General features: G+C 52.9%; 1 protein-coding gene and 1 long non-coding RNA gene across 27 annotated transcripts in view, besides 6 other annotated features; one reads left to right on the forward strand and one right to left on the reverse strand.

Annotated features, from left to right (window-relative positions):
- Nucleotides 1-25951, forward strand: part of CTIF (cap binding complex dependent translation initiation factor) — a 324187-nt gene that overhangs the window by 241476 nt on the left and 56760 nt on the right. The gene's annotated exons all lie outside the window — the stretch shown is intronic.
- Nucleotides 38-669: an enhancer, noted in NCBI's record as "H3K27ac-H3K4me1 hESC enhancer chr18:46306915-46307546 (GRCh37/hg19 assembly coordinates)". NCBI's record gives its function as "activates a minimal SCP1, AML or CMV promoter by ChIP-STARR-seq in naive H9 embryonic stem cells {active_cell/tissue: H9 hESC(naive)}" and the evidence as "EXISTENCE:reporter gene assay evidence [ECO:0000049][PMID:30033119]".
- Nucleotides 38-672: a biological region, named in NCBI's record as "H3K27ac-H3K4me1 hESC enhancer GRCh37_chr18:46306915-46307546".
- Nucleotides 490-672: a silencer, noted in NCBI's record as "fragment chr18:46307367-46307549 (GRCh37/hg19 assembly coordinates)". NCBI's record gives its function as "represses an EF-1alpha promoter that drives an FKBP-Casp9 reporter gene in an ReSE screen in K562 erythroleukemia cells {active_cell/tissue: K562}" and the evidence as "EXISTENCE:reporter gene assay evidence [ECO:0000049][PMID:32094911]".
- Nucleotides 1300-1931: an enhancer, noted in NCBI's record as "H3K27ac-H3K4me1 hESC enhancer chr18:46308177-46308808 (GRCh37/hg19 assembly coordinates)". NCBI's record gives its function as "activates a minimal SCP1, AML or CMV promoter by ChIP-STARR-seq in naive H9 embryonic stem cells {active_cell/tissue: H9 hESC(naive)}" and the evidence as "EXISTENCE:reporter gene assay evidence [ECO:0000049][PMID:30033119]".
- Nucleotides 4797-4996: an enhancer, noted in NCBI's record as "active region_13295". NCBI's record gives its function as "activates an Ori minimal core promoter by ATAC-STARR-seq in GM12878 lymphoblastoid cells {active_cell/tissue: GM12878}" and the evidence as "EXISTENCE:reporter gene assay evidence [ECO:0000049][PMID:35858748]".
- LOC105372106 (uncharacterized) lies at nt 13649-17397 on the reverse strand. Of its 3 annotated transcripts, XR_007066463.1 has the most exons (4): nt 17318-17397; nt 17059-17247; nt 14155-14342; nt 13649-13844 (listed from the first exon to the last, which is right to left on the reverse strand). It is a non-coding gene; the product is annotated as an uncharacterized LOC105372106 (long non-coding RNA). The 3 variants fall into 3 exon arrangements; XR_007066462.1 differs by having other exon boundaries at nt 13649-14342; XR_001753443.2 differs by lacking the exon at nt 13649-13844 and having other exon boundaries at nt 13969-14368.
- Nucleotides 20787-21226: an enhancer, noted in NCBI's record as "active region_13296". NCBI's record gives its function as "activates an Ori minimal core promoter by ATAC-STARR-seq in GM12878 lymphoblastoid cells {active_cell/tissue: GM12878}" and the evidence as "EXISTENCE:reporter gene assay evidence [ECO:0000049][PMID:35858748]".

The following is a 25951-nucleotide window of genomic DNA, read 5'->3' on the forward strand; positions in this document are numbered from 1 at the left end:
GGAGGGTGAGGGACACTTTATCCAGCACGTGGCACACGCACCTCTGCCGCGTCGGTTCATGCGTGTCCCTCCCTGCGAGCTTGGCGGGGCACTGTGGACACTGGGTTCTCTGCCTGATAAAGGGGGATCCTTTCATGTAGCATGCATCAAGATGCATGCATGGTGTGCTGGGCTGTCTCAGCCACTCTCCCAGGCTTCCCTCCTGCCGGTCCGCACACAAGAGGCAGCGTGCTGGGGAGCCAGTGGAATAAGGGCCCCACAGGGGCAAGATGGCCAGAGGCCATTTCAGCATGACCAGCATTTATGGATCTCCTTCTGTGTACCTAGCAGGGCAGAGTGCAGGGGTAGGGCTTAAGGAGGGGGGCGTGCTGATAGCCTCAGGAGGCCCATCTGTCCCTCCCTCTCTCCCTGGACTCCTCTGTCATCCCATCCCCTCCTAGCTGGCATGATTTTTCCTGTACTCAGATCGCAAAAGACTAGCAAGCCAATATGTTTGCTGGGGGAGTCACAGAAGGCGAAGACCCCCCCATCCCTGCCTTCACGGAGCTTCTGGCTTTGTGAGCCCCCCTCTTCTTGTTGTCAGGCTCCCAAATGACCCCAAAGGGTTTGCTTGCAAAAGTTTGTCCTCTGGACTTTGTGTTTTTCCCCATCTGCTCTACCCTCCTAGTGCCTCCTGGCTCCGGCCCCAGCGCCAGCCCCTGTCTGTCCCTGCAAACACAAGTCAGCTGTGTGTGCAGACAAAGCCGTGCGCCGCAGCGGGGGCCGGGCCTGCAGAAGGGACATTTCCAGGGAACTCTGGGGGCGGCGGCTGGGAGGGCAGAGGCGACTGTCTGATTAGCAGAGACTCGGCGTCACAGTCTAGGGCAAAGAGGGTGCGGGGGATTTGGCCGGGCCCCAGGGGCCAGTGGCTGTGGGTGGTGACCAGGGGAGGCAGCCAGGCTGGAAGAAATCTGCTGTTTGAGAAGTGGAGGAAACGGGCTGGAGAGGAGAGATAACAGCCCGTTCTCTGTGTATCTGCATGCGTCTGCCGGCGAGGGTGGCTGGAGCCGGGCGGTCTGAGGCCATATCTAGCGAGATTTTTGTTCTGGGTTGTGAAAGTGACCTATGGAGCCAGCAGCAGGGTTCAGGGCCTGGGAGAGAAGACACGTGGCCCTCCCCTCTCCTCCCCTTGTCTTGTGTTAGTCTCCCCTCCTCTCCCCCTTGTCAAACAGTAGAAAAGGGAGGGGGCATGGGGGCAGGAGAGGAAGCATTCTTAGTGCGGTAAAAGGCCTGGGTTTCGGTCTGGATTGTACCACTAATTTGACATATGAACTTGGATACTTCCCCTAATATTTCTGGCTGTCTCTGTCTCATTGGCTGTAAAATGGGGATTATTTATAACTGCTCTGCATAGCACGCATGAAATAAGGACGTGAAAATAGTTTGTAAACTGTAAAGTGCCACGTAAATGTTAAAGAGTTGTACTGATTCAAACTGCTTTGAAGCAGGGGCTGGGGCTGCTGATTAAAGACCTGCCTTAGATGAACTAGGTGCTGAGTGGTGGGCAGGAGGGTGGGGTGGGTAGGATCAAGACTTAGGGACCCAGAAGTTTCCATGGAGGCAGGGGTGGGTCACGGGCCCAGCCAAGTGAGCCCTGCCAGAACCAGGACCCAGGGCAGGCGTGGAGGGTGAAGTCCAAGAGCTCTCTGGGTGGGGGTGTTTGGTCATGGGCTTGCAGATTCAAGTAGAAGGTGGCCTGGGTTGGGCATGGACTTCTCCAGGGAGACAGGGGAAGCCATATGAAGCCCCTTGCCCATCAAGCTCCAGGGCCCCTGCCTGGCCTGGAGCATAAAGTCCCACTGATTGCAGAGGGATGGGGGCAGCACTCTGTTTTCCTCTCCTGAGCCTCTGCCACCCAAGGAAGCCAGGTCCCCCTGTCCCCCCACCCGCTCCCCATCCTGACCTGGAAATCAGCCCTCTCTGATGTGGAAACTCAGGCAGGAGCTGGCAGGGGTGACAAGACTGTGAGCGGGAGAGAAGCTGAGCTATTTAAAGCGTGCAGCGCCCAGGGGACATGAATGCCACCCACCCACAAGGCCTTCTCAGCATTCGCTTTCCCCTCCTTGGCCCAGATCCCAGGCCCTCAGTGCACCCACAGGGCCACAGGTCAGGTGCCCGAGGCTCTGGGAAGCTGCAGGCGGACAGGTCCTGGGGCTGGCATGAGATGTGGTTCAGTCCAACCTCGGCTTGGGTTCCCTCCTCTGGGCCTCCGGGCTGAGTTGGCGGGGCCACACAGACTCCTTGGCTCCTGTGCCTTATAAACAGGGCTGAGTGTGAGTGTGGAGCTTAGAAGAGGAATGCCCACGCCTGTGGCCCGGGGCAGCTGCCACCACCCACCCCCACTCCACTGGCTACCAAGCCACCAGACTCAGAGAGCCCATGGGGCAGGAGTGGGAAGTGGGGAGCTTCGCCTGTAGACCCTTCTCCCCTGCCCAGGCCTGGCTTCCCAGAACACCCCAGATTACAGATGTTTTTCTCCTTCATCTCCAATTAACATTTACCTGTCCTGGGTCCTAACCTTTAGTGAATGACAGGGTGTACTGTCCCTCCCTTCCTATCTGGGAAAGGCTGATGTCTTAGCTGGGAAGAGCAACTGGGATCCAGGCCTGTTAGACACAGGGTCCCATGTAGGCCACCACAGGTCTGGACCACCTGGGAGGCCTAGCTGGGGGGCTCCCAGGGGCCAGTCCACCAACCACAGCTGGTCTACATTGCACCAGCACGGCTTATGTATGGAATGACTTGAAAAGTCGTCGACTGCCCTTTCTGGGAAGGACTGGCTACTACTCTGAGATTGCATCCTTCCTACCATATTGGCATTAAGTTGTCCTTTCTTTTATGATATGACGGATGAAGCTTTAAAAAAAAAAATGCTTAGCAAAATAAAATGTGGGCAACCCTCAAATTTTACCAGTCCAATAAATCTTGGAGCTCAGGACTCTGGTTCCAGAACAGCACGGTTCACCTGGATACCCAGCTCTCCTGGCACTGAGGAGCCCGGGGATAAGAGGAACTGTTGAGTGTGTGGGGTACAGCCTGGGGAGGCCTCCGACCCTGGGGCTGCATGCCTCACCCTGACAGTAACTTGCAGCTTGAACTGCCAGTTCATCTTTACACCTGGGATTTCCACCCCACCCCACCTCCTCTATCCTCTCGGCTGGAGACACTTCCTCCCACGTGGCTGGGAATTCAGTGTTTTGCTGTCTGCCGCAGGCTGCCACCATCCCGTAGGCCGGGGGAAACCTGCGGAGGCTGCCTCCAGGCAAGCGCTGCCTGCCGACCACCGCCCTCTGACCCCAGTCCACCGAGCCCCAGAGGCACCCAGTCAGCACTCACTCCCTCCAGCCTTACGTAGCGTCCACACGTATGCTGTTACCCACACGGGCCACCAAACCTCCAGTCCCCTGCCCTATCTCACACACATCTTTACATTGCTCCATGTGCACTCTAGTGGGGATGGCCTTTTCCACACCAAGATTCATTCATTTATCAGCTGAGCATGTGCTGTGTTCCAGGCAGCGAGATGGTGGAAAAATGGAAAAGGAGGTCCCCTCTCCTGCCATTGGGCATCTCCTAATCTGGTGGGGAATGCAGACAGTACCCAGTAACTCCAGACCAGCATGCTAGGTGCTGTCATCGCGGCACACCCAGACGGCCCCGAGCATCGAGAGGAGAGAGAACTCACATGAGGGTGTCTCACAGAGAGAGGAACACAGGCCTGAGTCCCAGCACCTGGGCTGGGGGTGCCAAACAAAGAAACGTGCAGAAGGGCATTGTCTAGGCGAATACAGGAGCATGAGCAGAGGCAAGAAGCAGACAAGAATCATGTACAGCAAAAGAAGGGGTTGTTCCCGAGTATAGTGTGCACTGGGGGCTGAGGTGGGAGGAGAGAGTGTGGGCCAGAACCAGCTTGGGAGGGGCACTGTTTGCCCTACCTGGTCGGAGGGACCATACCCTTTGGTCTCTGGGGCACCACCAAAGGTTTGTAAGGATGGAGGTGATGTCTCCTGGTTGGCATCTTTGGCTCTCTCTCTGCAGCAGGATGGAGGAGGGCAGGATAAGGACCCTGGGAGGAGCAAAGCACCCCACTGGGGGTGTCCTATTGGAGCCTCCTGGGAGAGCCAGGAGAGGTGTGGGCAGCCTCAACTCTGTGGCAGTGGGGCCTAAGGGTCAGGGGATGATCCATGAGTGGTCAGCAAAAAGAGAGAGACAGAGAGAGAGGTGGGGGGACTACCTGTAGAGCAGTTAACATGCATCAGCACCACAAGCAGGAGGACCGCTGGGCAGAGAAACATGTATGCACATTCATGCACGTGTACATGTGAATAACTCCTCTCACACATGCTGGAGGAAACCCTCGCTGTCATCCACACTCCCAGGAATGGCCACATTAGACATCTTCCCCCTAGTTCCTGAGAAGCAAACCCGGGAGAGCCCAGCCCTCAGCCTTGCTGCATGCGTGAGCATGGAGTTTTGCACTCTGGCCAGTTTTGCCTCTAGTTCTTTGTTTCTGGAAAAAACAGGCACTAGGGTGAATTTCTTTTCTCTTTTCCTACCATCCCATCTTCCTTCTTCCTTCTCTTTTGTCCTTCCTTCCTTCTTTCTTTCCTTCCTTCCTTCCTCTCTCTTTTCCCTCCTTCCTTCCCTCTCTTTCTTTCATGAAGAAAAGCTCACAGAAAGGCAGAAGGAACCACAGTCTATTGACGTTTCTGACTCTTAGAGGCTCCAAACCGAAACTCAGCTGTGGTTGCTCTAAGTGGCTACAAAATTAGAAAAATAATTTGCAGAAATGAAACCTGACTTGGGATGCCGTTTCACAAAATAGGCTAGATGGCCTTGATGTGTCATGAGGCTCCCACCACTGCGGCCTGCACTGCTGGAGGAACTCCTCACATCTCAGGCTGGGGAGCATTTCCACCCCTGCAGTCAGGCATCCTACAGAAACCTGCCCCCTGCCTACCTGAAGACAGTTCACAGTTTCCTCTGAAATGGGCGGAAGAGCTGGACCCAGCCACAAGACCATCAAGGAAAGCAAAAGGCTTTCAAAAGTGAGACTCCCCAGAGACCAAACCCAGGGGAAGGGATCTGGGGATTCTTAACAGACTCCCTGGGAGTCCAAACCAGGCTGTGAGCTTGGCTTTGCCATGAACTAGCTCTGACCTCCGTGCCTTTGGTAAACAGTATCAACAGCTGCCATTTACCAAATTTCTATGGGGTACCTTGCTTGGCTGCACCTGGGGAGATTTGGAAAATGCCAATGCCCAGGCTATGCCCCAAGCAAATTGTGTCACCATCTTATGGGTAGGACCCCCGCATCAACATTGTTTAAAGCTTCCCGAGTGAGCCCAACATGCAGCCACAGCTGAGAACCACTGCCCCCACCCATTTGGCTGGAGACTTACGTAGGTTCATCCTCACAGCAACCCCGCCAGGGTTTATGAATAAGGAAGCTGAGGCTAGGAGAGTTTGAATCACTCATCCGAGATCCTTGAGGTTCTCCCTCATCCCAAAGCCCATCATTCTTCCTCCTTTGCAGGGCTGGATATACCTGTACAGACCCCGCACAGCATCAGTGAGTGATCCAACCAGCCAGCTGAAGGAGCTCAGAGAGCACTGCAGGGAGACAGGGGAGGTGCCGGCGGAGCAGTCTGCCTGTTCCTGGCGTTTGGGAGGGGGTGCAAGCCTCAGGCCTGTTTTTCAGCCTCCCTCCCAAGTCACGATTGGTCCCTAGTCCTGGGGATCCAGGCTGTCTGGGTCAGTTTGAACCTGAGCCTCACTCAGCAGATGCTCTTAGTGTCTAAGCCCAGCGGTGGGCACTGTCAAGAGCCTGGACTCAGGAGCCGCATTCCTGCCTAGGTTCAAATCCCAGCTCCACTACTTATAAGCTGTGTGCCTTTGCAAAGTGAGTGATCTTTCTGTATGTCAGTTTCTTCATCTGCATGATGGGGTGACGTTAGAGTTGTTAGGAGTACTAAATGAGACAGTGCATATCAGGATTGAAAGCAGTTCCTGGAACATAGAAAACAAGAAAATCCCAGGCACTCTAAGGATTACGACTGTGAACGTGCAGTTCATTGCTGAGCAGAAACTCGATGGAACATGGGCCTGAATCAGTCAAGGTGATAAGTTTAAGTCAATGTTTGCCCTTTGGCCTTGCCTGTTCTTAGCTAGATCAGAACCCCTGGGGTATGGAGTCCACACCTGGAACTTCGAAGGGAAAGGAGGAACCTGTTTTCCCTCTTTGGCCTCACCCCAGCCCAGGGGTCCTTCCTCCTCTCCCACCATGGTCATTACCACCCTTCCCCCCACCCACCCCCAGTCAAATACTGACTCTGGAAGCACCTTCTGCATGGGGCAGGGGGTGGCCCGGATGACCTCTGGAGCTCCTCACCCCACCATGGCAGTAAATCTCCCTTCCCCTACCCCACCACTCAGCCTGTGCCCTGCTGGAGCCCACAGCCCATCCATATGGTTCATCAGCAGCCTGGGAGGGGCCCTGTGGCTGGGAGTTTGTTTGAAGCCTCCAGACCATTGAGGCAGGGGCGGAGCTGTGGTCAGGACAACAGCAGTGCCTTTCACTGGCTCTCTGGGAGCAGCTGTGTGGGGGGCACCGGCCCAGAAGGATGACCGACATCCACCCGCAGTCCTTACTATTTGCGAGGGATAGGGCAAAGGAGGGGCCCAGCCCAGGATGGCTGTGACCACATTGGTTCACATGTTAAGTATGAAAGGAAAAGAAAGAAGGGAAGGGGAGGCGGGGAAAGGGAAGGAAGAAAGAAAGACAGAAAGAGAGGGAGGGAAATAGGGAGAAAGGAAGGAAGGAGGGCAGGAGGAAGGGAGAGAAGGAGGAAGGGATGGAGAGAGGAGACTCACATCTCAGAAGAGAAAAAGCACCAGGAGCTTTCCTTAGTCAATCATCTGCCTGCAGGTTGCTTTACACTCAGGGCTGTGCAGCCCAACTCTAGGCCTCAGCCGCCTCCATTCTGAGGGCCTTGGATACAATTGCCCCCAAACCAGGCATTCCAACCAGGGACCGTGACGGGCCCCAGCTCCAGGCCTCCTGGGTATCCTCTCATGGTTGAGTCTGCCCCCTCCTGAGAAGGAAGAAGAGGCAGGGTGTGTGTCAGCCTCATCACGCATTCCATCTCCCAGACGGCTGCCTCTGTCTGCCTGTGCAGTCTGCTTCTCTTCCAAAGGGTGGTTTGCAGTGCAGATTCATGGCTCCCAGCTAGAAACAGTATTCCCTCTGCCCCTGCGCCAACTCCTGCCCAATTCTTCTGCTCCTCACCCAGTTCCCCAGCACCCTGAGGGGACTGGCCACACAGAAAGGCATGAGAAAGTCTGCTGGCTGTGTCCACAGTGCCAAGGGTTGGAGGTCTGGCAGTCCTCTGCGTTTGGTGTCTGTCCTGATTGTCTCTCCTGGGGGTGACATGGGCAGGATCTCAGCGGGAGGTGAGGCTGGGGCCAGGCACTTCTTCTCCCTGTAAAACACTGCTCAGGGAGAGCAGCTTTGCTGACCTTGAGCTGGGACCCCCCCTTTCAGAGTCTCCCAGTGATAATCCCCATGGGGACAATTGGATGGCCGACCCTCTCTAGCCTTTAGGCTGGGGGGAGAAGAAACCTGAATTTGGGGTTTTTGTCTCTTTCCCAGAAGAGGGGTAGGAAAGAATCAGTAACAGCAATAGCCTGAGCTGGAAACATGCTCAGGGGCCAGTGCGTCCCAGCTTTGAGTATAGAGCTTCATTCTGAGCACTTCCCACATAAAACACAATTGGGGTGCCCCAAGGAGGGGCAGACACCAACATTTCAGGCCAGAATTCCAGACACTTGACTCCTAGGAGAGCTTTGGGTAAGCTGTCTCTTCCTCCCTAGCCTTGGTTTCCTCACCTGTAAATAAGTGGCCTGAAGCCACTGAGGGCCTTTTAGTGCCAGCAGTGAATCCTGTGACTGTGTTCCTCCTATCTCCCTGTATCCCAGGGCCACACCACCTGAAGCATTTTTCCCCTGCCTGGCCACATACCTGCCCCCGGAGGCCTTGTTACTAAGAAGGGCTCATGGAGCTGGAGGAGGTCAGGGGAGCAGTGGGAACAGCCAGAGGCACAGTGGCAGCCTTTGAAGATAAGATTCCTAAGTCTGGGAAATACAGAGGTGTGGCTGTAATAGGAACAGGACACAGACCCTCTCACCATCACAGGGAAACTCAAGGGTCTCCCTTGGGGAGGTCACTACAGAAAAAATGAGAAGAAGCACTTGTACTTCTGTACAGGGTGGGTGTGAACTCATCACCGGCCCAGAGGTGTAGGTAGGCCAACAGTGGACACGGATGCTAGAAAGGTACTATGACATCAGAGTGAGCATGACTGAGTCTGGTTAACGATGGCCAAAACTGTCCCATTCCCACCATCCAATAGCACACCTCTTAGGCCTGGGAGACCCTGGGCAGACTCAGGAGGACGTGTGCTGTGCTGAGCCTGAAGAAGGTGGCAAAGAGCAGGTGTGTGCACGTAGGTCCCTCAGCACCCATGGGACATGTTCCTGGACTGCAAGCCTCATCTTCCTTTAGTACAGTCACTCTAGGCCTCTGAACCATTGCTTCCTTGGCAGGAAGTACCAAATCACAGAGAAGCCTCAAATCATTTTCTTCGGGTTTAGGGAAAGTCACTGATTTTCATTTTCCTATAACATGATGACAATAAGGGCTGGGTTCACATCCCAGCTTTGTCACAGACTAGTTGTGTAACCTTGAATGGGTTTCTTACTCTCTCCAAGCCTCAGTTTCCTCACTGGTAAGATGAGGATGGTAATAATGATTGGGTTGGATTGCTGGGGATTAAATGAGATAATGTAGTAAAGGGCATAATACAACCCTGGCCCTCAATAAGTGCTCATAATGTTGGCTATGGTTCAATTGGACTTTGCTTGGGATAATAGTGAAAGGAATTTTAATTTCAGTTTGATTCATCAGGTGTGCACTAATATTATAGGTCTAGCCCTGTCTGAAACTCTAGGGAGATACAGTCAAGTGTAGATCAGTGACATACCATATTCATGGACTAGAATACTCAGTATTGGTATGATGTCACTTCTTCCTAAATTGGTCTCTAGAGTCAACAGTCTCAAATCAAGATGCCATTAAGCCTTTTGGGCAGAAATTGGCAAGCTGATTCTAAAATATATATGGAAACTCAAACCTACAATATCCAAAGGAATCTTGAAAAAAGAACAAAATTAGAAGTATAAATTAAGGGCTTTGTTTTTTTGCTCTCAGGAACCTTAAGACTAGTGGGGAAGACTAATAAGAGACCCCATGCTGCTTCCTAGGAATGTAGGGTACTGGTGAAGAGTATAGATGCTAGAGCCTGGCCCCTGGCTTTGAATGCTGGCTTTGCCACCTGCTACCTCATGACCTTGGGCAGGGTACTTTTCCCCTCTCTATGTCCTAGGTGTCTCATCTATAAAATGGGATGATCACAGCTTCATTGCCATGGGGCCATTGTGAAGATGAAAGGAGCTAACCCATGTTAGCCTAAGGCTGCCTACTAGGTGTTGGGGAAGGGATGGAAGTAGAATGAGGACAGAGGTTCCGCCCCCAGTACCGTATGTCCTTTGGAGAAGGAAAGCCTAGAAGCTGAACCACCTTTCCAAAAAGGGAAATTCTGGAATAAGGATCTCAGGCTCTGTGAGTACAGCCACCTCCTTTTCTAAGACCCAGACTGGGGAAATAGCTCATCCAGGGTCACTTGGCTGAAGGTTAAATACAGAGGAAGTGTCCAACAGGCAGGGAGTGTGAGCAAAGGTCCATGGCAAGGAGTTACAGCGGTGCTTCTTGGGCCATGGGAGAAGGCTGTTTCTGGAGTGCCGAGTTCGAGGGGGCATGGGGCTAAGGGACAGCCAGCAGGCATGAGTCACCAAGGGGCAGGCTGCCAAATCCAACAGGACGCCCCATGGAGCCCTTTGGCCTGGGCCCAGCTCAGCAGCCCCCTCCCCATCCCCCGGACACACGTACCCCACCAGGCCTGGAGACATTTCCTGAAAGACTAAGAAAGCACTGGGAGCTGGACGGGCGGCCTCAACGGCCAGAGGCTTGAGGCCAGGTCTCTCATGGAGGAGCAGACGAAGGGAGGACGTGACCGGCAGCCTTCATTCTCACAGGCCAGGGATTTCAGAGGAACGCGGCCAAGTCTAGCTCTGAAGTTCCCACTTCAGACCCCGCCCGGCTGGAGCCACGGGCGCCTGCAGTCGCCACCCTGGAAATCAGAGAGGCACGTCATAGGCCACCTCGTGCTGGGGAACACGTCCTCCTGGGGCCTCTGTCAGCTGGCTCACCTGCTGGGGTTCCCGGATAGCCCTTCTCCTTCTGCTGGGCCATGGACCCTCCTCTAGCCAGCTTCCCCCAATCCCTGCTCTCCCTCAGCCCCCAAACCTGTCCACCTTCTCACTCCATCTTCTCAGGAGAGTCCTGGCACCCAGAACAGACCTCCTAGGAATGTCATGTCTCTGTCTTTGAGGTCATGAGCAGACCTGGGGCAGGAAGGGGAGGCCCTGTACAAGCCCTACACTGTGGCTCAGGCCCAGAGAGGGGTTGACACCAGGCCAAAGGAGGGACACATGTCCACAGATAGCTCCCAGGCCTCCTGCATGCTGGCTGGTCAGACCATGAGAGCCACACTGGACAGGTGAGGAAACTGAGGCCCAAGAGGAAATGTGATTTGCCCAAGGCCCTATAGCAAGATAGAGGCAGAGCAGAATGGAAGACCTAAGGCTCCCAAGCCCTGAGCCCCAAGCTCTTTTAAGTCATTTTCATGGTTTCACTTCATTTTCTTTTTTCATTTCCTTCCTTCTTTAAGAGAAAGGCAGGCTCTGGATAGACAGGCAGGGACACAGGCAGGGCTACCAGAAACTCAGAGGAAAGAAGAGAGTGGCCCAGGGTTGGGCAGCCTCTACCCCCAGCCCCCAAGCTGAGTGGAAGCCCCTCCCTCCCACCCAGCCTCAGCCTGGCCCTGGGGGCTCCCCTTAGTGGGAGCTACCAGTTTGTGGACACAGGAATGTGCCTGTGGCTTGCCCAGAGACCCTGAGGGCCAGCACCTCAATCACAGCATCTCCTTGCCCCAAGCAGCCTGCCCCGTCTCAACCGTAGCTTTTATCACCTTCCTCCATGCCTCTCTAGTGAGTGTCTTCCCTGAGTCAGCAGAACCTGTTCATAGTCATCCCTTCTCCCAGATTAATCTCTCTCTCTCTGTAGCCTTCCCTGATCACCCAGGCTGCTGGAGTCTATCTGTGCCCTCACTGGGCACTCAGCTTTTGCCACCTGGTGTTCTTAGTGTCATCTCTTGGGTCTGTTCCTGTCTCTCTAACCAAACTTTAGGCAACTTTGTTCATTCAACACTCCATGAATTCAAGGCCTACCACGTGCCAGGCCCTGGGCTATGGTGGGATTCAGCAGCAAACAGACAGACTCAGCAACCTGCCCTCATGGAGCTTACATTCTAGCGAGGAGGGGATGATAAGCATCAAAGCAACAGATCTGCAAATAAGTAAATTTCCAAAAGGCTGTGGAGAAGGAAGCAGGGCATGTTGGGGGACAATTTTAAATAGGGTGATTGGAAAAGAGCTCACCCAGGTGACCCTTGGATAGGCTTGAAGGAGTGAGCCGTGCAGACCTGGGGAGCATCCTGGTCAAAGAGAAAGAGCAGTGAAAGGCCCAGAGGCAGGAGTGTGCCTGCCCCATGGGAGAACTGCAAGAAGTCCAGGTCAGGGGGGTGGGTGGGAGCCATGGGAAGGCATCAGGTCAGCGGGATGCTGGGATCTATAGGCTCACAAGGACGAGATTAGCTCTGAGAGGGGTGGGATGCATCAGAGGGTTTCCAGCAGGGAAGGCAAGGTCTGACCTGAGTTTTAATAGCGTCACTCAGGCTGCTGGGTTGAGAGGAGTCTGAAAGGGTGGAGTAGATGCAGGGATACCAGCCTGGAGCCTTTAGGGGGACAATGAGCATAAAAGCAATGGATCCACAAATCTGTTGAGTAAATGTGGGAGAGTAAATAAGGGAGAGTCTAAGTAAGGGGTGGTGGTGAAGTGATTAGGGTGAAGGGACAGGTCAGAGTCTGGGTCTACTTTCAAGGAAGAGCTGAGAGGATCCTCTGAAGGACTGGACGTAGGTGCAAAAGAATGTTGGGGTCAAGGATAACCTAAGATCTGGGGCCTGGACAACTGGAAGAGGGGCTTACCACTAACTGAGGTGGGGAAGATGCTTCAGGAGGGTGGACCAGGAGCTCACTATTGGACATGTCATGTTGGAATTGTGCAATAGGAAGTGGCCAGGTTGAGTGGACAGTTGGAGCCCGGCATTCAGAGGGGTGATCTGGATAGAAATAAGCCTCAGGGAGCTAATTTCTATCCAGGTGGTATTTAGGTGGTGCTATTAGGTGGTATTTAAAACCATGAGACAGGATGCCATCTCCAGAGGATGAGGATCTATGGTACAAAGGCCACTTGGTGTAGAGCAGAAGCTGTGTCTCCAGTTGTCTAGAGTTATGAATGGGTGGCTGATGACGGGGCTCTGACTCCACCGCTGTCACAACAGGCCAACTGCAGGAGAGAGGCTTCAGCCTCTGCCCCCTCCCTGGGATCCCCTTGCAGGCTAGCACAAGGGAGGGCTCAGGAGAGACAAGTAATTATCCTTATAAATCAGGAGGCTCCTGCCAGGGAGAAGCAGGGAGGGGCAGGCTGCAACCCCACCCCCTCTAAGTCTCTTGACATTTCCTGGGAAAGTGGTGTCATTTTATCATTTTATTCCTTGGTAAGGCTTAAATTTCAGCTTTGGGAAACTGACAGAGAGGATAGGATAGGTGCCTGGGGGCCAGCTTTGCTCCCTGTGGCTTTATATAACTCAGGCCTTTCCCCACAGCCATTTACAACTCTGGCTTCTGTAATGTGGTGCCAGCAGGATTAAGTTTTTAGCGCCCACTATATTTTGTGCTCTGTATTTCTGACAAAATGTTTCCTCCCTCATGATGATAGCTCAGTAAACAGAATCCCTTGGCGCAAGTGACATGCTGGGTGGCCACAGGCTCCAGGGGGCTTCTTGTGTGCCCCCTTCTCCTCCTCTCTTTTCTTAACAATTAGCCCAGCTCAAGTTTATCTTCATTTATTGACTTTTCCCTAAAATTGCTCCCAAATACTTCTTTGAGGCTGCCATACCAATGCCCAAGCAGGAAAATAGATGAGTTCAAAATGGCAGCCCACCCCAGTTTTATCCGACTTGAGTGCCATTTCCCCAGGAAAGTGGGAAGGTTTTGGGGGAAAAGCCTGATTTCCAGGCAGCCAATACACAGACCACAGGACTGTATCACATAGCCCAGCCTTGCAGATGAGATCCTGAGTCTCCCAGCCACCCATGCCCGCACAGTGCTGGCAGTGGGATACTAAAAATTAAGCACCTGTTACCTTCGCTTCTGCTCTACAGATTTCATCCCCATCCCCATCTCCCCAGGGGAGGCGAGGTAATCTGTACCACCTTGGGATCCTTTGGGTTTTCTGACTAGTAGCCCAAAGGGTGGCTCTCAGCCCCCCAAAGCAATGCCCCAGGGCCATTCTACCTCACTTTCCCCATTCTAGCCCCCAGCTTGGTTCCTGCTCTCTGCCCATTCCTCCTAGAGATATGCAGTCAATACCACTCACATCTTTTGCTGCTCCTTTGACAGATGTATTCCTCCCAGCTCAGTTCCAAGCTGAAGGCATGGGTGAGCCTTTGAACAGTGTTAAGTCACATTAGGCACAGAATCAGTGAGGGTTCGGCACAGCAGTGCTGGAAAGACAGGGTCGGGGAAAGCCAGATCTAAGGGCCATCTGCAACTCGAGAGCTAAGGGCCTCAGCTAAACTCCCAAACAGCAAACCTGGCCTCCCCAGGGTGGGCGAAGGGTCTTGGGGCCGGGGGAGGGGTTGCTGGGCTACGGCTGGTTCTCCCACAGATGGGGTGGCTCTGGCTGAGTAGTGGGGATTGACATTTCAGTAGCCAACTGCCTGAGGTGGGGGGTTGAAGGGAAACTTGGAATCAGAGGGAAGTTTGGGAACATTCTTCCCAGAATAGCTTTAAAAATAGGACAGCTTTACAAACCACCCAGGATGATTGAAGGCAGGTGGGATCGAAGCAGATGCCCTCTGGAGATGCCCTCTGGAGATGCTTGTCAGACTGGAACATGTGGGAACTCTGGAGGTTTTCCTGATTGTTCAGCAGATTTCAGAAGGCAGCCTCGGATCTTCCTTCCCCCAGGCCCTTTGTGTGTATTGCATTCGAGTCAGCACCTGGCAGAGAGGAGGCCCACAAGCATCTGTGGAGGGAGGGATGTGTGTGTGGATGCATGGGTGATCGGTAGGGGGTTGCATGGATAGATGGGTCAGGGTGGGTGAGTAGATGGATAGATGGATGACTATAGACTCCACATTAGCTGGCGAGAGTCCTGTGTGAGGATTCATGCAGAACATGGCAATCCTAAGTGGTTAGTTTTGCCGTAGCTTCCTGTTAAATAGATGTCACCTTCACCTTAGGAAGAAGCTATATTTTGGAAGCAGGTGGCATTACTCCTGGCTTTTTTTGATCCTTGGCTGGCAAGCTTACCTTTTACTTGAAGGATACTGTGTCAAACCATGGACTTAGTTGCCAGAGAGAGGCTCATCAGAGCATGGAGGCTGTCATTTCAAGAGCCCCCATAACTGCCATTCTCCTCTCGCTCCCTAGACCCCTTCAGAGTGCCCTACACCCTGCAGGTGGGCCTTAGCCTCTCCCCCAACCTGATTTCTCCAAGGTCACAATTTCTTGGGATTCTGATAATGCAGTTTTTGAAAAATGGGCCATCTCATGGGCTACCACAGATGCAAGCCTGTACTTCACCTTCTCATCTAACCAGGAGTATTTTAAGGGAGTCCCAGATAAAAGGAAGCCTGCAGTGAGCTCTTCCATTTAATGAAGATGCCCATTGGGGAAAAAAGTCACTTCTTAGTTTTATCTTATTCGGGTTTCTTCAAATGGCTTGCAAAGAGGCACCTGCATCCCCAGGCTCTTTCAGATGGGTAGTCCTATTTTCCCAGGAGCTCTTTAACCTGGAAAATAGAACTAGTCCTCCTTCCTCTGGTTCCCCAGAATCAAGTTCAACACTTGGGTATACTTTCTCTGTTGTCATCAGCCTGATTACTAAGAATTCTGTGTTGGGAAGAATTTCAGACTATTAGGGGAGGCCATCTCTCTTGAGGGAGGGTTTAGTGTAAGAATTTAATGTTTATAGAAAACGGCTTTTTTTCCCCCAACACAAGTCTTTGCCATCCACACCCTGGGAAAGCCGAGCCACCTGGCACCCACAGCTCTCAGCCAGGTACCATCTTTCCTGTGCTGGAAGTCACTGGAACTATAGGTCAGGACAGGGAAGAGAAGCAATCCCCAAATGCCCAGGTGTTGGTTGGTTGGTTTGTTTTTTGAGATGGAGTCTTGTCTGCCACCCAGACTGGAGTGCAATGGCATGATCTCGGCTCACTGCAACCTCCACTTCCCGGGTTAAAGTGATTCTCCTGCCTCAGCCTCCCAAGTAGCTGGGACTACAGGCATGTGCCACCATGCCCGGCTAATTTTTTAATTATTTTATTTTATTTTATTTGAGATGGAGTCTCACTCTGTCGCCCAGGCTGGAGTGCAGTGGTGTGATCTCGGCTCACCGCAAGCTCCACCTCCCGGGTTCATGCCATTCTCCTGCCTCAGCCTCCCGAGTAGCTGGGACTACAGGCGACCGTCACCATGTCCAGCTAATTTTTTTTTGTATTTTTAGTAGAAACGGGGTTTCACCATGTTAGCCAGGATGGTCTCCATATCCTGACCTCGCAATCTGCCCGCCTTGGCCTCCCAAAGTGCTGGGATTACAGGTGTGAGCCACCACACCTGGCCTGAATGCCCAGTTTTGAAGTTGGCTAACATGTCCATCATTCTGCATGTTTATGGATCAGTGAGGGCCTGTGTGCCGACAAAGGGAGCAAGCTGGAGATGGTGAGAACAGAAAGTAGCTTATCAACATGGACATGATGACAAGGAAGTGGCCATCCGAACCTCTGCCATCCCATCACACCTGCCCCCACACTCAACCCCACAGCCACCCAAGGGCAGAAGGACTTAGAACAGGCAAAGCCAGCCCACAGCTGCCCAGGGGAGAAGGACTTAGAATGCTCTTGCCTCTTTTACATGCTCACAGCTTCTGGAATATTTGTAAGTGCACTCCTACTGAAATCGCGTGGGTAGCTGATCTGAGGGACTTGTGTGACGAGAATTGTTTCCCCTATCCACACTGCTTAGTGAGTCTGGGCTGGAGATCTACAGTTTCCTTAAGACCATCCTTTATAGAGCTCAGGTCTTTTTTCTGACAGCTGGAATCACAGGTGCCCACCCCAGAGCAAAAAGGCCATGTCAGCCATCTGCAGCACTGGCCTCCCTCTGCCCAGGTCTCCAATGTACTTGTCAGAGTCCCCTGTGGACTCCAAGGCCTCCTGTGATCAGCCACCCGGTAGATGATTTCCCAGAGCACTACCCTATAGGGAATATCTAAACTATCCCTAATTTTTCTCCCTTCAAATCCAACTTGTCTCAGTCCTGTTTTTCTCATAAAAGGGCAACTTTCTGGCTGGGCACGATGGCTCACACCTGTGATCCTAACACTTTGGGAGGCCGAGGTGGGCAGATCACTTGAGGCCAGGAGTTCAAGACCAGCCTGGCCAACATGGTGAAACCCTGTCTCTACTAAAAATACAAAAATTAGCTGGGGGTGGTGGTGCGTGCCTGTAATGCCAGCTCCTTGGGAGGCTGAGGCACGAGAATCACTTGAACCCAGTGGGCGGAGGTTGCAGTGAGCCAAGATCGCACCACTGCATTCCAGCCTGGGTGATAGAGCAAGACTCCATCCAAAAAAGAAAAGGGGTGGGGGGGCAAGTTTCTGAGTTCTGATCCCTTGAACTGTGCTGGCATGAATTGTAGCTGATATTTTACCTTGTGAGTTGACTGGGGATTTGCTGGGGAGACAGAGCCTTATCCTGATGGTGCGGTGTTAATGGGCTGACCTCAGGCACTGTGGTATTCTGGGGTGGGGGGATGCTCTGAGGCAGAAAGTGCCCTTCCACGTGTTCCTCAGATTCATCCAATGAGGCCTGCACTTTTAGTCCTCCCTGGGTTTCTCTCCTGTAAAACAGGAATCAGGCAGTTAGATCTCATAGTACCTGTGTGAGGTAACAGGGAGCATCTTACTAACCTATTCTCCAGATGCAGCTCAGCAAGGCCGAGTGACTTGCCCAAGCTCTGCTGGTACTCTGCACTCTCCTTGGATGTTTGCCCAGGAAGCAGAGCCCTCGGTGGTGGGCAAAGCCAGTAGCAGGTGGAGAGAGACCCTGCCAGGCCTCTCTGCTCCTCTGACCACAGTCAGAGTGTCTCTTATCACCTGGGTAGCACTTCCTCTGCCCGCGGCAGAGCCAGCGCCACCAGGGGCAAGCAGACGGGTGAGGAGGTGCCAGACAGGATTGATAGTTCCAGCCTCCTGTCCTTTCCTTCTGCAGACCTGTGAGGGAGCTGGTGTTATTTTTATCTGGGGACACTGGCGTGGGAGGTATTTGTTAACGTCATCTGGTAAACGCAGTTGAATTATCTGTTGTCCAAGGAACCCTCAAATAAGTAGTGTTAAGCATGCTAAGCCGCTCACATTTAAAGATACAGTTAGACTCCTGGGAGAGAATTTGCTTATGCTGCTGCCATCACAACTGAAGCCCAGAGCTGTCAGTTCCAGAGCCCGGGCTTTATTTAACCCTCTTCGGTTTGGGGTTCATCACACATAAGGGCTCGTGCTTTTTTGAAAACCATGCTTCCCTATCTGTTCTCTACAAGTGGGAAAGTGCTTGCAGTCTGTGGGTTCAGTGCAGGGACAGGTTGTCTGCACTTGCTACTGAGTGTGTGTTAAGTTAGCACAGTACTGAGTTCCGAGTCCCATGAAGTAACTGTGTGGCATACCGGTGTGTGTCCTGTGCAGCCTGCAGCTTTCTAAAGGCAGTTTCGGGGTGCACCCCCACCTGCAGGCCTTACATTATAGCCCCCTCTCTTAATGCGCTCCCCAGTATTTCTCAAGTGCCTCTGGATCTTGCTGTGTCCTGAGAAGTTGTCCCATGGGTGGGAGCATTGGGCACCATTGTCACTCTCAGCAGTGGTTCTCAACCAGGAGTGATTTTGCCTCCAGCAGACACTTGGCAACGTCTGGAGATATTTTATCTGGAGCTTTCACAACTGGGGGTGAGGATAGGGGCTTCTAGTGGCATTGAGTGGGCAGATGCCTACGGTGCACAGGACAGCACCCCCCAAGAACCAATGAGCCGACCGAAAATGTCAGTAGTGCCAAGAATGAGGCAAGGCTGCTCTAATCTTGAGGCAGATGGAGCCTCCTCTCGCTGCCACCAGCGCGTGACTTGACAGGAGGTGGCTGGGTCAGCAGGGCTATGAGTGGAGAAGGTGAATGGTGCCAGCCAGCAGCCTCGGGTCACGCGGAGCAGTTCAGAAAGTCTTACTGAGCTCTGCAAGGCCAGGATCAAGCCAGATTTTAAGGGGATGATAAGCAAGGTGTGGTCTCTGGCCATAAAGACAAACCATGCAGTTTTGTAGAATACTCTCAGTTCACAAGGAGGTTGTATATCTCTTGCCTCATTCAATCTTCACAACAACTTATGGGCTTGATGGGACAAGTAGAATCAGCCCTATTTTGTGGATGACCAAACTGAGGCCCAGTGGGGTAAATAACTTGCCCAAGGTCAAAAAGCAGCCCCAGATGATGGATTTCTGGTCTTTCACTAGAGCATTTGGATCTCTGTGCTCCTCTTCCCTCTTGGGTCCTACTGGATCCCATGTTGGTGAGGAATCAGTCCTTTCTTGTATTTTTATCTGGGGACACTGGCATGGGACGTATTTGTTAACATCGTGAGTGGACACCTGAATAAGGACAGAATGAACTTCCCATCCTAGATGCCACCCTTTCTCCTGGGGAACTTCTATAATAGCCCAAAGCCAGAGTAATTTCATTTTCATGCCTTCTCTGGCCAAGCTCAGATCTAGCCAGGGACTTCCCCATTAATATAGGGGCCAGAAGCCCACCTCTCTCTGTGCACCCAGATTATTTCCTCCCTGGGGTTGCCACTGCCTTGGAGCCCCCCATCCATTTATTCAGTTAACAGATACACACTGAGGGCCTCCAGGGGCCTAGACGCAGCAGGTACATTGCCGAATAAAGCAGACAGAGTTTCTCTGCCCTTGCAGAACTTGCAATCCGAGTGGGAGAGGCAATCACTGAACGCATAAGCTTACAGGTGTGTCATTTCCAGTTATGATGGGGCCACACAGAAGAGCCAACACAACACAGTGAGGGATGTCACAAGAGTGGAGGGCCTACTTAGAGAAGGCAGAGGGCCTCTGGGAGGAGAAAACAAGTAGACCGAGACTTGAAGGAGGTGCATGTGCACCAGCTTTTCAGCAGCCGGAGGAAGAGGGTCCCCAGCTCTGGTTAGAGAAGCACCGTGGGGTGAAGGTGGGGCACCTTGGTATGCATGGTGACAGGATGGATTTTTCTTCCCCACTCTACCAGTATTTCACAGTCAGCATCCCCATCATCAGAAATATCTTGATGGCCTCCATTCACACATCAAGTCAACGTGAGTCCCCACACTGCTGTTTTATACCTGGCAGTTTTGTACTGTTTTGTACTCTCTGCCAGATACTCAAGAGAGGAAAAGAGGAATAAGATACCCAAGAGGCTTACAGTCTAGCCAAGGAAATAAAACATGCAGGCAAAACTAGGGCCAGCCGGAACATCTGCCCCCATCTCCAGCCAGCCCATCACATTCCCCACCCTCAGTCCCCTGATGTCAGTAGCCACCTACTGTTCTCCCTCCTGTCTGCAGAGATACCTTCCCTCTTGCTGACTCCAACACCCACCATACACTGGCCAAGGTGTGGGAGGTCAGCCAGGCTACCCCATAACACCTGGCATGGATAACCCCCCACACACCCATGTCCTTGGTAAGACCAAAGAAGCAGGAGGAGCAGGCATCTGCGGAGGTGCTCCCCTGGCCAGGCATTTTCATCATCACGGTGTTTAGCCGTGTTTCCCTTTTCTGGGTGGGGAACGTGAGACGGTAGAAGACCTGGGGCTTGCCCAGGTCCAAGGGCTGAGTGGGAGTCGGACCAGAGTGCCTCACCCAGGCCTGTCTGGCATTCAAACCCATTGTGCATATCTTGACACACTAGTGATTTTCATGTATTTTTAGCAGAAGAGTTGTTTTTCCAAACTCAATCTCAGGCGTGTCCTCAACCACATGAAACAGACCTGGCAAAGGGCCTCTGCCTGGGATCCAGGAGCTTTGAGTCTGCCCACTCAACTGCCCTTCACCCATCCCCACAGGTGGCCCAAGCCTCCTTGGGAACAACACAAGGGGCCCATCTAGTCTTCAGACCGGATCTCAGAACGAATGGAGAAGGTCTGAGCACTTCCTTCAGGGCCACCCCCACCCCCGGCACTGCTCAGAACAGACCTCACTGAGTCCAGTGGGGCAGAACCACACAGAATGGCACACTGTGAGAGAGGGGCCCATTCAGACAGAGCCCGGTGCAAACAGCTGCCATCCACGTCTGCAGAAATGGCAGGCACAACAGTCACTTCCTGGTCTATAACCCCATATGGTCTCCAGAGGCAGGCACAGGCCAGGATCACCATTTCACAGACGCAAACGTTGGTCTCCCCCAAGCTCCCTAGACTTTGTGTCCTTCTCTATCCTGGCTCCCTCCGCCTCCGGCTGTTCCTCAACTGTTGTCCAGTAGACATTTTGGGATACGGCTTAGATAAAGGATGTGTGCACTCCCATTGCAGCTTCCTTGAGGGATAATGCCACATAAATGTTAACATGACTTTTAAAGACCATCTGTGGCAAAGTTCAAAGTTGTGGGTGGATGTGAGCTTCAGGCCGAGTCATTCTGGAATCCCCATTATAGGTCAAATCTTTTTGTGAGCATTTCAAGGGGTTTTCTCAAATTCTATAAATAGCTTAGTAACGCCTGTGTATTCATCTATTTTTAAAGCCAGTCTTCCGGACAATTTCAGAAGTAATTGGGCCACTCATTGAAAGTAGGGTTTCAAAAGTCATTTCTTCAGCTTCCAACTGCTTCCAGAGCAGAGGGATCCCAGATGCCATTTCTGCCTAGGGTTGGGGACCCAACCTTCTTAGTAGAACCTGGTCCAGGCAGAAACCGTGGAGAAGACTCTAGGAATCTCCAAAAAGCTGGATAAGCTGAATTCTGGCCCCAGCTCCCAGTTCCTCCCACAGGAAACCTTGGATACAACATTCATCCAACTTATGCTTCAGTTTCTCACATAGCAGAATATGGGCACAGTCACCCTTTGCTGATTAGGAAGGGTTATTACACCTGTTTGCGTCACTCTGTCACCTGGGTGCAGGTCAAAGGTCTCTTTCATTTTATAGATAAGGATGCAGAGGCACGGTGACTGGCCTGACAGTCACATGGTGACTTTCCATTTTATAGATGGGGACACAGAGTCACAGCAGTTGGCCAGTCTTGCTGTCCTTTTATTTTGCGGTTGGCCTGCTCCTCAGGCTGAGGCCTCAGTGAGCACAGCCCCACTCTGTTTCCACAGAGAGCTTCATGTCATGGATAAGACCTACCACCTGTGCCCGGGCCTAGGCCTGGCAAACACCTGTCTCCAAGCCCTCGGCCTCTCTCCTGGGCAGGATGGCAGCCAGGCAGGGAATATCCGAATTCTGCAGAGACAACAACTCAGCCCTCTCCTCTGAGGACCTGGAGGGAAGTGTAAGGCAGGGGTGGGTGGCTGTCATGTCTGCATGATGACCTTTTCAAACTTGATGCCTTGGGGGGTCCAAAGAGCACCAGGCCCAGGATCAGAGACCTGGGTTCCAGCTCTGTCAACCTCAGAAGGTAGGCAGATCAAGGAGCCTCATCCTCCAGTGAGCTGCTGTGTGGGGCAGAGCCAGGAAAGCTGCAGGAAGTGCCTAGAAAGGCAGAGTGCTGTGTAGAGGTATGGCGAGACAGTGACATGAACATCAGGCAGGCGGCAGAGAAGATCAGGGCGCCAGCACGGGCACCAGCTACTAAGTGTGTAATCACTGAGGGCTGCCCTTGAGCCTGGGAACTTCAGCCCCCTCACGCCCCTTGACCTGACAAGTGGTACTAACGTCCTCCCTGAGGCTGAGTCCAGTGACACCTTGCTTTGAGGAATTCCTGCTTGTCCCACTGGTATTCTTCATCTGTCAGACAATCCAGCCTTCTCTCTCTGCTCAGGCTGAAAGGAAAACTTCCAGCCTCTTCTGAGGGCTTTTCAAGGCCACAGCCACAGCAGGTGCTGGCTCCCTTGCCTGAGAATAAGGCTTCGCGCCTGCCTAAGTGTGAGACAGAATTCCTGCTGGATCAGCCTGACTTCTCAGCTTCTCTCTGCTGCAACCCAGCGCCATCCCCCCGCCTCCCTGTCCCCTCCTACGGATCAGCAGAGCTGAGCCTACCTGACCTGATTTTGCCAATAGAAATATGCTGGGTGCTCACAGCCTGGGAAACTTGGAAATGTCTCCAGAGTGATCCAGATTTAGCTGGAAGTGGCTGATGGCTGTTCCCAGCCACAGTGTGTGCCCTTTGTCTAGAGCCAACTGCTGGGGAGAAAGCATTTCCAGCCACAGTGTCATGAACCATCAGTCACAGAGAATGTGTCTGGTAATTTTTTATTAATAATAGTTAAAGGATCGGCATTTGGGGCTTGATTTTCATGTCCATTGATTAGAGCAGATTCAAGATAATCCTCATCATATCACTCTCTCTTCATTCTTTTGGATGGGACAGAAAGGGCAGCAATCACCCAGTACATCGGGAATTTGACATGATGCTCAGGAGAGTGTCAGGCACCTGTGACAGCCACCCGATGGTCCTAGGTAAGGCCTGTGATTGCAGGGGGCAGCTGTTATTTCTGCGTGTGGTCCAGGGATCTGTCACTGAGCCCACCTGCCCCAGCTGCAGAATGACCACATGACCTGGTTCTGTCCAATCAGGGAACCCCATCACCACAGCCACAGTGATTGGGCTGAGAGATAGTCATGTGATGAGCAGGGCCAGTCAGAATCCTTCCCTGAGATTTGAGGGTTTGACATTTGGGGAGGGGGGGCTCTGTCTTCCTTTTGGCTCAAGAACCATTATGAGAGAGACCAGGTGCTGCTGACCGCCATCTTAGCCATGGCAAAGGGAGAACCTGTCTGTGGCAGCAGAAAAATCAGTCAGCATGCAAGTCAAAGCCCAGACAAGGGAGAGAGGGGAGAGAAGGGAGGACCAGCCCTGGGGTTGCTGTTTGAGCCCTGGGGACAGGCTGTGTCCTAGGGCCCACCTTCCATGTAAGACAGCCCAGGCCTGTGTGCCTCTTCAGCTAGTCTGAGATGGTTTCTGTCACTGGCATCCAAGAATCCTCAGTGTCTAGGGGCAGAGCAGAGTGAAGCAGTGGAATGGTCAGGGGTCGTTGGCCAGGGAGATCAGGGATACTTGGGGAAAGGTTCAAGTCCACCTAAAAAGGGACACACCCAAACCCAAGGAGTAGTTCAGGGCCCAGCTGGCATCAGAACTCAAGCAAACTTGTCCCAGGGCGGAGGCTGCAGCCCAGTGCCCACATGGTCCCCGTCTCCCTCCAGACAAGATGTGCAGCCACCACAGACTGTTGCCAGAGTGCAGAGTGACATGCAGGTCAGATTCTGACTGCTCCAGAGTCTAGGTGTGGCTGAGTCCTCAGGGCCAGGCCTCAGGGCTCAGCAGGACTGAGCCAAGACTGGCAGCTGTGGCCAGGACGTGGCATGATGGCCAGCTGTGAGTACAGCCCAGCAGACATGCCCCTTGGCTGGGCTGCATGTGCAGACTGCCAGGGGTCGGGGGCGGCCAGGTCCGAGGCAGGCTTTGGTGGATGGAGTAACTCAGGATACAGCTACCAGGTCTCTCTGCCGCTTATTCAGCACCTACTTTGCACCAGATACGTTGCACATGTTACTCATTTAAGCCAAGGAGGTTTGCCTGACCCAATCAGACTGATGCCAAGACCTTCCACGATGCTGCCCTAGGTGGGTGTGTGAGAGGCAGGGTCCATGGGCTGCCACCCAGGACCCGGGCAATAACCAGATCACCCCTTCCCTGCTTCTCCTCCTATCCTGACTCCAGCTCTGCTAGAAGCACTGCCCACCCAGCCTCAGTGCCCACTTCTCTGACTCTGCCCCTCACCGTCCAGTCCCCAGCATCCAGGCCCCAGTCTCATCCTCATCCCCAGGGCCTGGGAATCCATTATTTTGTCACCTAGGAGAAGCCTGTTGTACTGATGAGTTCTTTTTGTCCCAAGTCACAGGAACCAACTTGAGGTGGCTTAACATTGCTAAATCCTTTTCTGTAAGGATTCTGAGGTTTCATGGAGCCCAGAAGTCCCAGGGAAGGACAGAAGGGAACATTCAGGGTCGTCTCTCAGGCTGGGGGTAACCTGATGTGTCACAGTGTCTGTGGGTTCCATGCTGCAGGCCAGCCCTACGCTTGGGAATTCCCAGCCCTCTGCTTCACTGTTGATAGGAACAGGTGCCAAGGAAGGACTGCACTGTCTCTCTGAGCTGGAGGCTCCTGTCCTGGGCTCCTCCCAAATGATGATGACTGGGGTGAGAAAAGAGCCTTCCAGGAACTACCCAAGGCCAGGTCTAGCCATGGGGGCCAGGCCGCAGGCCCTGGGCTGTGTGATAGGAACGGAGGAGTGAGGGGGCTTCACTGGTGGGGGGGACCAAGGAGGAAAGCCTGCCGGGGGGATTGCAACTAGCCTCAGCAAAGCCCTGAGGGGAGAGTCTGACACAGGGGAGACTCGGGGTTGGGGTGGAGCTACATTGACGTCAACTGTGACCCCACCACACCACCAAAGGGCGGCTCTGCGGAATGTCGTGGCCTTACTTGAAGCAACCCTGGGAAGGGGGAAAAAAAATCCAATAAGCCAAGAAACATCACTGTATGGCAAAAATGTTACCCACAAAAGTGAAACAAATGTCATGAGACGGTGGCCTTGGAGCAGGGACTGGGACTGGCCCAGAGAAGGTGGGAAGAAAATATCAGGAGTGAACTGTCAGCCACAAATGAAAGAAAAGATGAGACAGGCATACATGCTGACTCTGTACTCTTATGTCTTAGATTAACAGCCCCCTACCCTTTGGACAGGTTGTCCTCTTAGAGAAGAGCTGTCTGACCACGTACCGTGGGATATTTATGCATCCGGTCCACACACGTTCATTGAACACCTACAACGAGCCAAGTCCCATTCCAGGGGACATGAAGATGGCTCAGAAAACAGGATTCCTGCCTTCAGGAAGCCCTTCTAGCAAAAAGTCAGGTCATCAACAGACATCAGACCTAGTGGAGGTGATCAGGGCTGGGAAGGAAGCATAGCAGAGTCGGAATGAGGAGTCCCGGGGGCTGTGGTGGAGGGGACAGCCAGGGAAGCCTCCCTAAAGAGGGAATGTGGGAGCAGGAAGGTGAAAGAAGGAAAGTTGGGGCCAAATAAAAAATAAAGCACCTTTTATTTGAAAATTAGTTTCCTCTTTTCAGTATAAAGAATTCTGTCAAATATGTTTTTTAAGCCATGCAACCAATTGCCCGGGAGAAGAATGCCTGGGATTGACTCCTGGCTGCTGGGCTCCCACAGCTCCCCATGGTCTGTCCCTCCCACATGTATCCAGCTTCTCAAGGAAAAGAAACTTCCTGCTAGCAGTAAATAAAAGTGCACTTTCTCCTCCCCACTGGAGAGATGGCAACAGCAGCCACCTCTCTGGACAGAAACAAA

Source organism: Homo sapiens, chromosome 18 (genome assembly GCF_000001405.40).
Source record: "Homo sapiens chromosome 18, GRCh38.p14 Primary Assembly".
NCBI classification, from domain to species: domain Eukaryota; kingdom Metazoa; phylum Chordata; class Mammalia; order Primates; family Hominidae; genus Homo; species Homo sapiens.